Source organism: Homo sapiens, chromosome 4, assembly GCF_000001405.40.
Source record: "Homo sapiens chromosome 4, GRCh38.p14 Primary Assembly".
In the NCBI taxonomy this organism is placed as follows: Eukaryota; Metazoa; Chordata; class Mammalia; order Primates; family Hominidae; genus Homo; species Homo sapiens.
The window spans coordinates 42,283,187-42,298,438 of record NC_000004.12 but is presented as its reverse complement, the minus strand read 5'-3'; the positions used below and the strand labels follow the sequence as shown (position 1 = coordinate 42,298,438).

The window sequence follows — 15,252 nt, the reverse complement described above, 5'->3', positions numbered from 1 at the left end:
GTGAATATATAAAAAGAAAAATATTTGTTGTGTGCTACTTAAAATCACCTCACTTATCACAGATGGTGCATATGCCACACTTTAGAATTGTTGCCCAGTGAGATATTTTTTAGGAGTACAAGGCACAATCTTTGCTGTCACAGAGCTTTACATCTGGTAAGAGATAAAGGGAGAGGAAGATTTCACAGCAGATGGATACATAGTGAAAAGGCAGACTATAGTTAAATCCCAAAGCGTGTGGCCAAGGCAGGAAAGAAAATGAGAGGTCAGAAAAATAGAGATGCCAGTGGGGGAGAGAAGGGCTGCAGGCCAGGAAGGGTGAATCCATGCTAAATGTATTGATTTAGAGTTTACATTTAAATCTCCAAAGGTTCCCCAGAGCTACAGGACAAATGGCCAATTTCTCAGCACATCTGCCCCCTCATGATTGGCCTCTGACCATCCTTGTGGGCTAATCTCCCAGCATGTTCCTGGACAGTCTCTTTTGCAAACTGCTTATTCTTCTCCAAATTCACCATCTTCTCCCTCCACAGTACATCCACTCACACTCTTCCTTTTACCTAGAAAACTCTCCAAAACCTCTGTCTTTTTTGGTCGATTTCTTTATTATTATTATTGTTATTATTATTATTATTATTTTAGTAGAGACGGGGTCTAATGATGTTGCCCAGGCTGACCTCAAACTCTCGCCCTCAAGAGATCCTCCCACCTTGGCATCCCAACGTGCTGGGATTACAGGAATGAGACACTGCACCCAGCCCTTATGGTCAATTTTCTTTCTTTTTTTTTTTTTTTTGAAATGGAGTTTTGCTCTCTTTGCCCAGGCTGGAGTGCAATGGTGCAATCTTGGCGTGCTGCAACCTCCACCTCCTGGGTTCAAGCGATTCTCCTGCCTCAGCCTCCCAAGTAGCTGGGATTACAGGCATGCACCACCACGCCTGGCTAATTTTTGTATTTTTAGTAGAGACAGGGTTTCTCCATGTTGGTCAGGCTGGTCTTGAACTCCCGACCTCAGGTGATCCACCTGCCTCAGCCTCCCAAAGTGCTGGGATTACAGGTGTGAGCCACCATGCCCAGTCTGGCCAATTTCTTTTCTTTTCTTTCTTTTTTTTTTTTTTTGAGACAGGGTCTCTGTCACCCAGGCTGGAGTGCAGTGGCACGATCTTAGCTCACTGGAGTGTTGACCTCCCGGGCTCAAGCAATCCTCCTGTCTCAGCCACCCAAGTAGCTGGGACTACAGGCATGCACCACCATGCCTGGCTAATTTTTAAATTTTTCTGGAGAGACAAGGTCTCATTGTGTTGCCCAGGTTGGTCTCTAATTCCTGGGCTCAATCAATCCTTCCACCTCGGCCTCACAAAGTGCTAGGATTACAGGCATGAGCCACCTGTGCGTGGTCCTTTTGACCAATTTCTTTTAAACTCAGTTCAACCATCCCATTTTCTCTTATGAATGCTTGTCAGATTTCACAGCACTCTTTTGCAAATGAGGAAATGTTACTTCCTCTGGCTAGTCCAATGGATGGAGAGCCTCAGTGCCTGGTGAGCAAATGGCACCTTGTGTAAACAGAAATGCAATGTTTCCCCTGGATGTATGCAGCCCTATGCCAGGGCCCATGAGCTAGGTTTCTGCCCTTCTGGCCTGACACCGTGTGCAGTGCACACCCTGTGCAACATAACTGGCAGACCTGCCTTGTCTGCACAAACTCAGGCCGAGTTAGCTTCATTCCCTCCTCATGTTTATTGATTTATTCATATTCCACCAGTAAACAGTCAGCAGATTGAAAGGTCTTCATCTATCTATCTCGGAATCTTTGGCAACTAATAGAGAACCTATAAACTGGTGCAGAATAAACATTTGCTAGACAAATGATGATCAATCATGAATATATGTTGAAATGGTTCAGAAAGCCATAGGCACTGGGAAACTTTACAGAAAGAGAATGAATTCAAACTAGAATGAATTTTAACTCAGCACCTGACCACATTGCCCAATACACAAATTGTACTAACTTCTTATATGATGTGGGCAGGAAATACCTCCAAGCGGCCACAGAGTGCAATGAACAATGACAAATCTTCATCTGGACAGAAACATGACCTGCCTCCCTTATCCCAAAGACTAACCACTGCTTAGGGAAGAGATCATGCCGGTCTTGTTCCACGCTATACCACTAGAGCCCACTTAATAGTACTTGTTCAACAAATATTGATTGAACAAGTAAGTCAAAGTATACACTCCTTGGCTACCTTGTTTTGTATATACATATGTGTATGCGTGCATATACATATGTATATATTATATTTATATATATATATATATATTTTTTTTTTTAGAAGGAGTCTCGCTTTGTCGCCAGGCTGGAGTGCAGTGGCGCGATCTTGGCTCACTGCAAGCTCTGCACCCCGGGTTCACGCCATTCTCCTGCCTCAGCCTCCCAAGTAGCTGGGACTACAGGCGCCCGTCACCACGCCCGGCTAATTGTATTTTTAGCAGAGACGGGGCTTCATTGTGTTAGCCAGGATGGTCTCGATCTCCTTACCTCGTGATCTGCCCACCTCGGCCTCCCAAAGTGCTGGGATTACAGGCGTGAGCCACTGCGCCTGGCCATATATTTTTAAATGATGGGTGGAATGGTGTGGGCTTAGTAGACCCAATACTATGATAAAAGCACAGTGAACACAATGGTTCAGATGTGCAAAAAAAGGGGAGGGGTATTTTGTCACCCTAACTGTTCACATCACATTCTTAAGTCCCACTCCTGTGGACGGTGGAAAAGAAACTTAAACTTGAAAACTAAAGATAATTCAATTTCTTCTAATTTAAAACAGACCCTTTGGGTCTAACTCAGTCTCCTCTGAGTAAATGTTCACTTGGTTCAGGCTGGGTGCAGTGGCTCATGCCTGTAATCCCAACACTTTGGGAGGCCAAGGCGGGTGGATCGCCTGAGGTCAGGAGTTCGAGACCAGCCTGGCCAACAGAGTGAAACTCCGTCTTTACTAAAAATACAAAAAATTAGCTGGGCTTGGTGGCAGGCGCCTGTAATCCCAGCTACTTGGGAGGCTGAGGCAGGAGAATTGCTTGAACCTGGGAGGTGGAGGTTGCAGTGAGCCGAGATCGTGCCCATTGCACTCCAGCCTGCACAACAAGAGCAAAACTCTGTCTCAAAAAAAAAAAAAAAAAAAAGAAGTTCACTTGGTTCAACTATCAAATTCCTTCTCAAGGCTATTTCTCTTCTCCAAAAGGTCCCCCTTGGGTACAAGGGAAAAGCTCATACATCTTCATAATGGCCATGGTCTCTGCAGGTCCCTGATGTCGTGTGGCTGGTCTACTCTTGTCCCTGCAGGTCCTGCATGGGTCCTCACTGAGGTATAGCTGGTCCCACCTGGTTATCTTGAGTATGGTGTGGCCCCAACTGCTGCAGACCCATTCTGACCCCAGACTCTTCTTCATCCCTCTACAGCAGCATCTAAGAACTTATGGATACCCTGCACACATTCCCTGGTTTCTCAGGCCCATCACCTGAGTACCTCACTTAGACATTTTCAAATTACCCCTCGAGGGCTCCATGAAGTTCCAGCTCCAGGCTAAATTCAGGGCTACTCTTAAGGGGCTGACAATTTCCCAAATTATCCCTCAGAAACAAGAGCTAAGCCCTGCCACAGTAGGATGCCACACACCCATCTGTACTTTATTCACCACCCCTTGCTCATCTCCTCCTCCCCTGGGGAGCACAGATTCCTTCCCATGGAATCTGTAGCTTTTCTAGTTCTCTCACTTTTCTCGTATTCCTTGCCTGTCCCCTACCCCCACAAGGCTGGAAGGGACTTTTCTTACTGCATACCCTGAGTCTCTATCTTTGGTTTCTCATAAAACACTCTGTTCAGATCACCAATTCAAATGCATTCCCCTTCTGCTCTTGACATGTAAAAGAGGCTTTTGTAATTTATAAATCCTTATTTTCTTTTCACAAAGCCTGGATTTCAAGACTATTGTTTCATTATGGAATTCAAAAACCTGTTTTAAAGTCAACACTGAAGACTGAGTCTTTCTTTTTGGAATCCTGCTAAGATGCTTCTGGCTGAATATGAGAAGGCCCTATTCAAGGACATTCATACATTTCAACAAGTAGAATCTCTGTTACATCAGCAAGTTTGACTGTCCAAACCATAAAACCTTCACAGTCTGCTCCCTCCTGGAGCCCTTGCTGGGAGGGGAAAACTGCAGGTGACCAAAACCCCTGTACAGATAGCATCGAAACAAATCCCTCTCCAGCCAGCCTGGACTCCAGCCTTCACTACTGGCTGGTCAGTGATTAATCAGGGGTTCTCATGAGTATGATCCAAACATGTGGAGATTAGAGCCAGCTATTGGTAGATACTGGTCCCACAATGCCAAGTAGAGTGAGGGACAAAGTCAGCATCATGGCAAGATAAAGCTATGAGCAGCTACCCTGGAACCAAAACAAAGTGGAGGAAGCGTGGAATAGATGTACAAAGAAAAGCAAAACCCAAAGGCCACATGGTCTTAGGGAGCAAGATATGGTCTGAATAGCTGTTTAGTAACTTTCCAGGTTCCTTGAGGCCTGGATGTACTTCTTGACTGACTTTAGTTTTCAAGAGATTCCCTTTCATATTTTCAATAAAGCTAGTTAGATGAACCCATGTCCCTTCTTAATGATCCCTGACTGAAACACTGGAAAAAGACATGGGCCAGGTGAGTGGGTGAGTAAAGTTTGAATTCAGAATTCAAACACCCAAATCCAGGCAAACTGCTCTCCAGAAGTTCAATAAAGTTCATCATACTTTCTTAAGGAGGAAGTGTTACAGGAAAGGGGTCCAGATCCAGACTCCAAAGAGAGGGTTCTTGGATCTCATGCCAGAAAGAATTCAGAGTGAGTCCATAGAGTAAAGTGAAAGCAAGTTTATTAGGAAAATAAAGGAATAAAAGAATGGTTACTCATAGAGCAGCCCTGAGGGCTACTGGTTGCCCATTTTTATGGTTATTTCTTGATGATATGCTAAACAAGGGGTGGATTATTTATGTCTCCCCTTTTTAGACCATATAGAGTAACTTCCTGACATTGCCATGATATTTATAAATTGTGGTGCTGGTGGGAGTGTAGCAATAAGGACAACCGGAGGTCACTCTTGTGGCCACCTTAATTTTGGTGGGATTTGGCCAGCTTCTTTACTGCAACCTGTTTTAACAGCAAGGTCTTTATGACCTGTATCTTGTGCTGACCACTATCTCATCCTGTGACTTAGAATGCCTTAAACGTCTGATAATGCAGCCCAGGAGGTCTCAGCCCCATTTTACCCAGCTCCTATTCAGGATGATGTTGCTCTGGTTCAAACGCCTCTGACAGAAGCACCCGGCTCTCCTGACTACTGAGCGCGTCAGAAGCCGGCTCCCCAACATCACTAACACAACCTGTTAGACAAAGCTGAATTTACGCTAAGGGAGAATGCCACCTTGCAAAGTTTAGCAGTATCTCCAAGGTCGGTAACATAGGTAAAAATTTGGGTAAGTATCATGATACTGAGAAACAGGACTAGTTAGATTTCCTAGGCCAACTAAGAATCCCTAAGCCTAGCTGGGAAGGTGATCGCATCCACCTTTAAACACGGGCTTGCAACTTAGCTCACACCTGACCAATCAGGTAGTAAAGAGAGCTCACTAAAATGCTAATTAGGCAAAAACAGGAGGTAAAGAAATAGCCAATCATCTATTGCCTGACACCACACGGGGAGGGACAATGATTGGGATATAAACCCAGGAATTCGAGCTGGCAACGGCAACTCCCTTTGGGTCTCCTCTCATTGTATGGGAGCTCTGTTTTCACTCTATTAAATCTTGCAACTGCACACTCTTCTGGTCTGTGTTTGTTATGGCTTGAGCTGAGCTTTTGCTGGCTGTCCACCACTGCTGTTTGCTGCCGTCGCAGACCCCTTGCTGACTCCCACCCCTGCGGATCTGGCAGGGTGTCTGCTGCGCTCCTGATCCAGCCAGGCACCCACTGCTGCTCCCAATCAGGCTAAAGGCTTGCCATTGTTCCTGCATGGCTAAGTGCCCGGGTTCGTGCTAATTGAGCTGAACACTAGTCGCTGGGTTCCACAGTTCTCTTCCGTGACCCACAGCTTCTAATAGAGCTATAACACTCACTGCATGGCCCAACATTCCATTCCTTGGAATCTGTGAGGCCAAGAACCCCCGGTCAGAGAACAAGAAGCTTGCCACCATCTTGGAAGCAGCCCGCCACCATTTTGGGAGCTCTAAGAACAAGGACCCCCCAGTAACATTTTGGTGACCACGAAGGGACCTCCAAAGCAGTGAGTAATATTGAACCACTTCCGCTTGCTATTCTGTCCTAACCTTCCTTAGAATTGGAGGAAAATACCGGGCACCTGTCGGCCAGTTAAGAACGATTAGCGTGGCCGCCAGACTTAAGACTCTGGTGTGAGGCTGTCTGGGAAAGGGCTTTCTAACAACCCCCAACCCTTCCGGGTTGGGAGCTTTGGTCTGCCTGGAACCAGCTTCCACTTTCAATTTTCCTGGGGAATCCAAGGGCTGACTAGAGGCAGAAAGCTGTCATCCCGAACTCCTGGCATTAGACAGTTGAGATCGTGGCGCAGCCAGAAGTCTCTACTCAACAGTCACCCATGCGTGCACCCCTACCTTTCCTTCTAACCCATACCTCCCGGGTCCCAACCATGACTTTCTTGAAAGTGTAGCCCCTAAATTCTCTTTACCTCTAAATCTACTTCTTCTCATCCCTGCTTCCTAGGTACTAATGGTTCAGACTTTCATTTCCTCTAGCAAGTTCTATCTCCAGAGGGATCTAAGGAAGGGATCTATGCTGTGTCCTTAGGCCCCTAGGCTATGAACCCAGAGAGTCTTCTCCCTGTTATCTCTCCCCATTTAGGCATACAGCTCTCAACATGGACAGTTATGTGGGACCCATTCCCTACCACCCTTGCCAGGGCCCCAAGTTTTCAAAGGGCTAGAAGAAAAAAGAGAGAAAGAGAGAGAGAGGCAGAGGGGAGAGAAAGAGAGAGAGACAAAGAGGGAGTCAAAGAGAGATAGAAAGAGAAAGATAGAACTAGTAAAGAAAAAAAGTATGCCCCATTCCTTTAAAAGCCAGGGTAAATTTAAAACCTATAATTGATAATTGAAGGTCTTCTCCATGACCCTATAACACTCCAATACCACCTTGTTTTCAGTGTAAACAAGGGTGTAGCCCGAAAACACTGAGACCACTGACAACCCATAGCCTTCCTATCAAAAATCCTTAACCCAGGAACCCATGGATGGCCCAAATGCATTCAATCTGTAGCAGCAACTGCTTTGCTAACAGAAGAAAGTAGAAAAGTAACTTTTAGAGAAAACCTCATTGTGAGCACACCTCACCAGTTCAGAATTATTCTAAGTCAAAAAAGCAAAAAGGTAGCTTACTAACTCAAAAATCTTAAAGTATGGGGTTATTCTGTTAGAAAAAGGTGATTTAACATTAACCACTGAAAATTCCCTTAACCCAGCAGGTTTCCTAATGGGATTTAAATCTTCATTACCATACAAAGGTCCGACCAGACCCAGCAGGAACTCCCTTTAGGACAGGATGATAGATGGTTCCTCCTGGGTGATTGAGGGGGTGAAAAACCACAATGGGTGTTCAGTAATTGATAGGGAGACTCTTGTGGAAGGAGAGTTAGGAAAATTGCCTAATAATTGGTCTGCTCAAATGTGCGAGCTGTTTGCACTCAGCCAAGCCTTAAAGTACTTACAGAATCAAAAAGACTCTATCTCAATCCTGACTCAAAATGTTACCTACACCATCTCTGACATGAATTTGCATAAGAACTGTTGTTTATGGGAATGCATCTTGATGGGGCAGCTGGGTTGTTATGAAATACTCAGGAACCCAGCCCAGGTCTAGAATTCACCTCTGAGCGCAAAGGCAATGTTGGCCATGCTGGTAAAGGACCACTAGAATCCAGGAGCCTGGACCCCTTTCTTTGTGGTCAAGAAAGGCGGGAAAACAGGTGCAGGACTGCTACATCAGAGAGCATAACAAATCCGATAAGCAGAGTTCCATGAGTGGTTAAGCACCCTGGAAAGGAACTCACCTCTGAGTGCAAAGGCAATGTTAGGCACACCAGTAAAGGACCACTAGAATCCAGCAGCCCAGACCCCTTTCTTTGTGATCAAGAAAGGCGGGAAAAGGGGTGCAGGACTGCTACATCAGTGAGCGTAACTAATCTGATAAGCAGAAGTCCATGGGTGGTTACGCACCCTGGAAAGGAATAAGCATTAGGACCACAGAGGACACTCTAAGACTAATGCTCATTGGAAAATGACTAGGGGTGCTGGCATCCCTATGTTTTTTTTTCAGATGGGAAACATTCCCCCCAAGGCAAAAACGCCCATAAGATATATTCTGGAGAATTCGGCCCAGAGTGTATGTATCTTTTTTCCCTGTCAGACTTGAAGCAAACCTAGGTAAATTATCAGATAGCCCTGATGGCTATATTGATGCTTTACAAGGGTTAGGACAATCCTTTGATCTAACATGGAGAGATATACTGTTACTGCTAGATCAGACACTAATCCCAAATGAAAGAAGTGCCACCATAACTGCAGCCAGAGAGTTTGATGATCTCTGGTATCTCAGTCAGGTCAATGATAGGATGACAACAGAAGAAAGAAAACAATTCCCCACAGGCCAGCAGGCAGTTCCCAGCGTAGACCTTCATTGGGACACAGAATCAGAACATGGAGATTGGTGCCGCAGACATTTACTAACTTGCGCGCTAGAAGCACTAAGGAAAACTAGGAAGAAGCCTATGAATTATTCAATGATGTCCACTATAACACAGGGAAAGGAAGAAAATCCTACTGCCTTTCTGGAGAGACTAAGGGAGGCATTGAGAAAGCATACCTCTCTGTCACCTGACTCTATTGAAGGCCAACTAATCTTAAAGGATAAGTTTTCCACTCAGTCAGCTGCAGACATTAGAAAAAAACTTCAAAAGTCTGCGTTAGGCCGGGAGCAAAACTTAGAAACCCTATTGAACTTGGCAACCTCAGTTTTTTATGATAGAGATCAGGAGGATCAGGTGGAATGGACAAATGAGATTTTAAAAAAAGGCCACCACTTTAGTCATGGCCCTCAGGCAAGCAGACTTTGGACACTCTGGAAAAGGGAAAAGCTGGGCAAATCGAATGCCTAATAAGACTTGCTTCCAGTGTGGTCTACAAGGACACTTTAAAAAAGATTGTCCAAATAGAAATAAGCCACCCCCTCGTCCATGCTCCTTATGTCAAGGGAATCACTGGAAGGCCTACTGCCCCAGGGGATGAAGGTCCTCTGAGTCAGAAGCCACTAACCAGATGATTCAGCCCCAGGACTCAGGGTGCCCAGGGCAAGCGCCAGCCTATGCCATCACCCTCACAGAGCCCTGGGTATGCTTGACCATTGAGGGTCAGGAGGTTAACTATCTCCTGGACACTGGCGTGGCCTTCTCAGTCTTACTCTCCTGTCCCGGACAACTGTCCTCCAGATCTGTCACTATCCGAGGGTTTCTACGACAGCCAGCCACTAGATACTTCTCCCAGCCACTAAGTTGTGACTGGGGAACTCTACTCTTTTCACATGTTTTTCTAATTATGCCTGAAAGCCCCACTCCTTTGTTAGGGAAAGACATTCTAGCAAAAGCAGGGGCCATTATACACCTGAACATAGGAGAAGGAACACCTGTTTGTTGTCCCCTGCTTGAAGAAGGAATTAATCCTGAAGTCTGGACAACAGAAGGACAATACAGATGAGCAACAAATGCCTGTCCTGTTCAAGTTAAACTAAAGGATTATGCCTCCTTTCCCTACCAAAGGCAGTACCCCCTTAGACCCGAGGCCCAACAAGGACTCCAAAAGATTGTTAAGGACCTAAAAGCTCAAAGCCTAGCAAAACCATGCAGTAGCCCCTGCAATACTCCAATTTTAGGAGTACAGAAAACCAACAGACAGTGGAGGTTAGTGCAAGATCTCAGGATTATCAATGAGGCTGTTGTTCCTAACCCTTATACTCTGCTTTCCCAAATACCAGAAGAAGCAGAGTGGTTTACAGTCCTGGACCTTAAGGATGGCTTTTTCTGCATCCCTGTACATCCTGACTCTCAATTCTTGTTTGCCTTTGGAGATCCTTCGAACCCAATGTCTCAACTCAGCTTGACTGTTTTACCCCAAGGGTTCAGGGATAGCCCCCATCTAGTTGGCCAAGCATTAGCCGAGCCAGTTCTCCTACCTGGACACTCTTGTCCTCTGGTACATGGATGATTTATTTTTAGCTGCCCGTTCAGAAACCTTGTGCCATCAAGCCACCCAAGTGCTCTTAAATTTCCTCGCCACCTGTGGCTACAAGGTTTCCAAACCAAAGGCTCAGCTCTGCTCACAGCAGGTTAAATACTTAGGGCTAAAATTATCCAAAGGCACCAGGGCCCTCAGTGAGGAATGTATCCAGCCTGTATTGGCTTATCCTCATCCCAAAACCCTAAAGCAACTAAGAGGGTTCCTTGGCATAACAGGTTTCTGCCAAATGTGGATTCCCAGGTACGGTGAAATAGCCAGGCCATTATATACCCTAATTAAGGAAACTCAGAAAGCCAACACCCATTTATTAAGATGGACACCTGAAGCAGAAGCAGCTTTCCAGGCCCTAAAGAAGGCCCTAACCCAAGCCCCAGTGTTAAGCTTGCCAACGGGGAAGACTTTTCTTTATATGTCACAGAAAAAACAGGAATAGCTCTAGGAGTCCTTAGACAGGTCCAAGGGATGAGCTTGCAACCTGTGGCATACCTGAGTAAGGAAATTGATGTAGTTGCAAAGGGTTGACCTCATTGTTTACAGGTAGTGGCGGCAGTAGCAGTCTTAGTATCTGAAGCAGTTAAAATAATACAGGGAAGAGATCTTACTGTGTGGACATCTCATGATGTAAACGGCGTACTCACTTCTAAAGGAGACTTGTGGCTGTCAGACAACCGTTTACTTAAATATCAGGCTCTATTACTTGAAGGGCCAGTGCTGCGACTGCCCACTTGTTCAACTCTTAACCCAGCCACATTTCTTTCAGACAATGAAGAAAAGATAGAACATAACTGTCAACAGGTGATTGCTCAAACCTACGGCGCTCGAGGGGACCTTCTAGAGGTTCCCTTGACTGATCCCAACCTCAACTTGTATACTGATGGAAGCTCCTTTGTAGAAAAAGGACTTTGAAAGGTGGGGTATGCAGTGGTCAGTGATAATGGAATACTTGAAAGTAATTCCTTCACTCCAGGAACTAGTGCTCAGCTGGCAGAACTAATAGCCCTCACTCAGGCACTAGAATTAGGAGAAGGAAAAAGGGTAAATATATATGCAGACTCTAAGTATGCTTACCCAGTCCTCCACGCCCACACAGCAATATGGAGAGATAGGAAATTCCTAACTTCTGAGGGAACACCGATCAAACATCAGGAAGCCATTAGGAGATTATTATTGGCTGTACAGAAACCTAAAGAGGTGGCAGTCTTACACTGCTGGGGTCATCAGAAAGGAAAGGAAAAGGAAATAGAAAGGAACCACCAAGTGGATATTGAAGCCAAAAGAGCCACAAGGCAGGCCCTCCATTAGAAATGCTTATAGAAGGATCCCTAGTATGGGGTAATCCCCTCCGGGAAACCAAGCCCCAGTACTCAGCAGGAGAAATAGACACGAGGACATAGTTTCCTCCCCTCAGGATGGCTAGCCACCGAAAAAGGGAAAATACTTTTGCCTGCAGCTAATCAATGGAAATTACTTAAAACCCTTCACCAAACCTTTCACTTGGGCATGGATAGCATCTATCAGATGGCCAATTTATTATTTACTGGACCAGGCCTTTTCAAAACTATCAAGCAGATAGTCAGGGCCTGTGAAATGTGCCAAAGAAATAATCCCCTGCACTTCAAGCCATACATTTCAATCCCTGTATCTTTAACCTCCTGTTGTTTGTCTCTTCCAGACTCAAAGCTGTAAAACTGCAAATGGTTCCTCATATGGAGCCCCAGATGCAGTCCATGACTAAGATCTACCACAGAGCCCTAGACCGGCCTGTTAGCCCATGCTCCGATGTTGATGACATCAAAGGCACACCTTCCGAGGAAATCTCAACTGCACGACCCCTACTAAGCCCCAATTCAGCAGGAAGCAGTTAAGAGCAGTCGTTGGCTAACATCCCCAATAGTATGTGGGTTTTCCTGTTGAGAGGGGGGACTGAGAGACAGGACTAGCTGGATTTCCTAGGCCAACTAAGAATCCCTAAGCCTAGTTGGGAAGGTGACCGCATCCACCTTTAAACACGGGGCTTGCAACTTAGCTCACACCCGACCAATCAGGTAGTAAAGAGAGCTCACTAAAATGCTAATTAGGCAAAAACAAGAGGTAAAGAAATAGCCAATCATCTATCGCCTGAGAGCACAGTGGGGAGGGACAATGATCGGGATATAAACCCAGGCATTCGGGCCGGCAACGGCAACCCCCATTGCGTCCCCTCCCATTGTATGGGAGCTCTGTTTTCATTCTATTAAATCTTGCAACTGCACACTCTTCTGGTCTATGTTTGTTATGGCTCGAGCTGAGCTTTCGCTCGCTGTCCACCACTGCTGTTTGCCGCCATCGCAGACCCACCACTGACTTCCACCTCTGCAGATCTGGCAGGGTGTCCGCTGTGCTCCTGACCCAGCGAGCCACCCATTGCTGCTCCCAATCAGGCTAAAGGCTTGCCATTGTTCCTGCATGGCTAAGAGCCCAGGGTTCGTCCTAATCGAGCTGAACGCTAGTAGCTGGGTTCCACAGTTCTCTTCCGTGACCCACGGCTCCTAATAGAGCTATAACACTCACCACATGGCCCAAGGTTCCATTCATTGGAATCCGTGAGGCCAAGAACCCCCGGTCAGAGAACAAGAAGCTTGCCACCATCTTGGAAGCTCTAAAAACAGAGACACCCCAGTAACAATAGAACAGTCCAGAATTGGTGGAAACAGCAAGGCAAGAATTTGGAAGCAAAGGATTCAGAGATTTAGGGCACAAATTGTCTGTTGATGCTTTCCACTGAAGAGTTTGGAAGAGTCTTTTGCAAGTTCCTGTAACGAACAATCAATCCATTTGCCTCGATAGGCAGGTTCTGGGAAAATAAAGTCATGCTAATGAAGACAGAAGAGTGGTGCAAAGTTCTGCTAATGTAGACAGAAAGCTGTGGATTGTATGGCTGGGTGCAGTGGCTCATGCCTCTAATCCCAGCACTTAGGGAGGCTGAGGCAGGCAGATTACTTGGGGTCAGGGGTTCAAGACCAGCCTGGCCAACATGGTGAAACCCCCATCTCTACTAAAAATCACAAAAATTAGCCAGGCCTGGTGGTGCTGCCTGTAATCCCAGCTACTCAGGAGGCCGAGGCACAAGAATCGCTTGAACCTGGGAGGCGGAGGTTGCAGTTGCAGTGAGCTAGAGCATGCCAGCACCACTGCACTCCAGCCTGGGCAGCAAAGCAAGACTCTGTCTAGAAAAAAGAGAAGAAAAGAAGAGAAGAGGATTATTAAAAGAAAAACTTTAAACAGATTAAATTTAATAGAGTTTATTTGAGCAAAGGATTCGCAAATCATGCAGTCCTCAGAAGCAGAAGAGGTTAGGAGAGCCCCCCTCTGCAAAGCGGGCACTTTGCAGGGAATATTTATAGACAGAAAAATGGAAGTGAGGTACACAAACAGCTGGATTGGTTACATCCTGGCGTTTGCTTAATTTGGACGTGGTCTTTCAGATGGCAGCCTGTGATTGGCAGAAGCTGGACACCCAGCTATTTGCTATAAAATATACTCCTCATTGGATTTTCATTTGTTTACATACTAAGTTAGGTTGCAGTTTATTACTTAGTGATACTCAAGGTATGGGAGGTGGTCTTAGGCCAAATTTAGGATAATTTAATAGGTTCCAGGATTGGTGTTCTGCCTGATAAAAGAAAAACTTCAGTGGAATTAAATTTAAAGGAGTTTAATTGAGCAATGAACAATTAGGCTCAGAGACTCCAGCACAGCCACATGTTGGAGAAGATTTATGGACAGAAAAAGGAAAGTGATGTACAGAAAACGGAAGTGAGGAACAGAAACAGCCGGATTGGTTACAGCTCAGTATTTGCCTTATTTGAACAGGTTCAAACAGTTAGCTACATTTGACTGGCCAAAACTCGGGTGATTGGCACATGTGTAGGCTCTGGTCTGTTTACACTTTCACTTGTTACAGTTCATAATGTACAGAGAAACCTTTAGACCTAACTTAAAATATGTAAGGAGGCAGCTTTAGACTAAACTTGATTTAACAAGGTTGAGCGTCCGGATGGGCAGTTTGGGTTCTCAGGTAGATTAAAAACTTTCTGAACTTCATTCTCAATGGACTTGAACATTCAGACAGCACTACCAGACATCCTCGTGGACGCCTTTCAGCTTCTAAGAACAAACTCTGTGTCTCCAGGGCTAAGGATAGAACAGAATGCTAAGATAACATAAGAAGGGGCACCTCGTTCAGTCTTTAAGAGTTGGGTAAGGCTTCTCAGAGGAAGAAGCACCTATGCCGAGACCTAAAGGATGAAAAACATCAGCCAGGCAAGGAGTGTGCAAGTCAGCCCAGAGGCTGTGTTCTAGGCATAAGGGGCAGCATGGGCCTGGAAATGAGAGAGACAGAGTGTGTGCATTGGAGAGCTGCCTGTCATCCAGGAGGAAGGGCTGAGGTTGTAGGACAGACTGTAACAAGCCTTGTAAGTTGTGTGTGCTAAGGAGTTTGGACATTTTCATGAAGGGCAATGTGGAGCCACTGAAGAGTTTTTAGCAGAAAAGAAAACCATAATCCAATGCACATTTGTAAAGGATCATCCTGGTGCTGGCGAATGATCTGGGGAGGGGCATGACTAGAGGCAGGGAAAGCAGTTATACCATTTACAAGGCTGAAGTCACACTGATTCATATTTATGTTCTTCTCACTTCAGAATCCACACGTTCATGGAGTCATAGAACCTAAGGGTTGAAAAGAACCCTTAAGGCCAGGCACGGTGGCTCACCTCTGTAATCCCAGCACTTTGGGAGACCGAGGCAGGCGGATCACGAGGTCAGTAGATCAAGACCATCCTGACTAACATGGTTAAACCGTCTCTACTAAAAATACAAAAAATTAGCCGGGCGTGGTGGCGGGCG

General features: G+C 45.7%; 1 long non-coding RNA gene across 1 annotated transcript, besides 5 other annotated features; it reads left to right on the top strand.

Moving 5' to 3' along the window:
• Positions 1,950–2,099: an enhancer, noted in NCBI's record as "active region_21514". NCBI's record gives its function as "activates an Ori minimal core promoter by ATAC-STARR-seq in GM12878 lymphoblastoid cells {active_cell/tissue: GM12878}" and the evidence as "EXISTENCE:reporter gene assay evidence [ECO:0000049][PMID:35858748]".
• Positions 2,730–3,669: an enhancer, noted in NCBI's record as "OCT4-NANOG-H3K27ac hESC enhancer chr4:42296787-42297726 (GRCh37/hg19 assembly coordinates)". NCBI's record gives its function as "activates a minimal SCP1, AML or CMV promoter by ChIP-STARR-seq in primed H9 embryonic stem cells {active_cell/tissue: H9 hESC(primed)}" and the evidence as "EXISTENCE:reporter gene assay evidence [ECO:0000049][PMID:30033119]".
• Positions 3,670–4,609: an enhancer, noted in NCBI's record as "OCT4-NANOG-H3K27ac hESC enhancer chr4:42295847-42296786 (GRCh37/hg19 assembly coordinates)". NCBI's record gives its function as "activates a minimal SCP1, AML or CMV promoter by ChIP-STARR-seq in naive and primed H9 embryonic stem cells {active_cell/tissue: H9 hESC(naive and primed)}" and the evidence as "EXISTENCE:reporter gene assay evidence [ECO:0000049][PMID:30033119]".
• Positions 5,797–12,616, top strand: LOC124900697 (uncharacterized). The gene is made up of 2 exons (XR_007058106.1): positions 5,797–6,332; positions 12,038–12,616. It is a non-coding gene; the product is annotated as an uncharacterized LOC124900697 (long non-coding RNA).
• Positions 12,728–13,229: an enhancer, noted in NCBI's record as "H3K4me1 hESC enhancer chr4:42287227-42287728 (GRCh37/hg19 assembly coordinates)". NCBI's record gives its function as "activates a minimal SCP1, AML or CMV promoter by ChIP-STARR-seq in primed H9 embryonic stem cells {active_cell/tissue: H9 hESC(primed)}" and the evidence as "EXISTENCE:reporter gene assay evidence [ECO:0000049][PMID:30033119]".
• Positions 14,046–14,185: an enhancer, noted in NCBI's record as "active region_21513". NCBI's record gives its function as "activates an Ori minimal core promoter by ATAC-STARR-seq in GM12878 lymphoblastoid cells {active_cell/tissue: GM12878}" and the evidence as "EXISTENCE:reporter gene assay evidence [ECO:0000049][PMID:35858748]".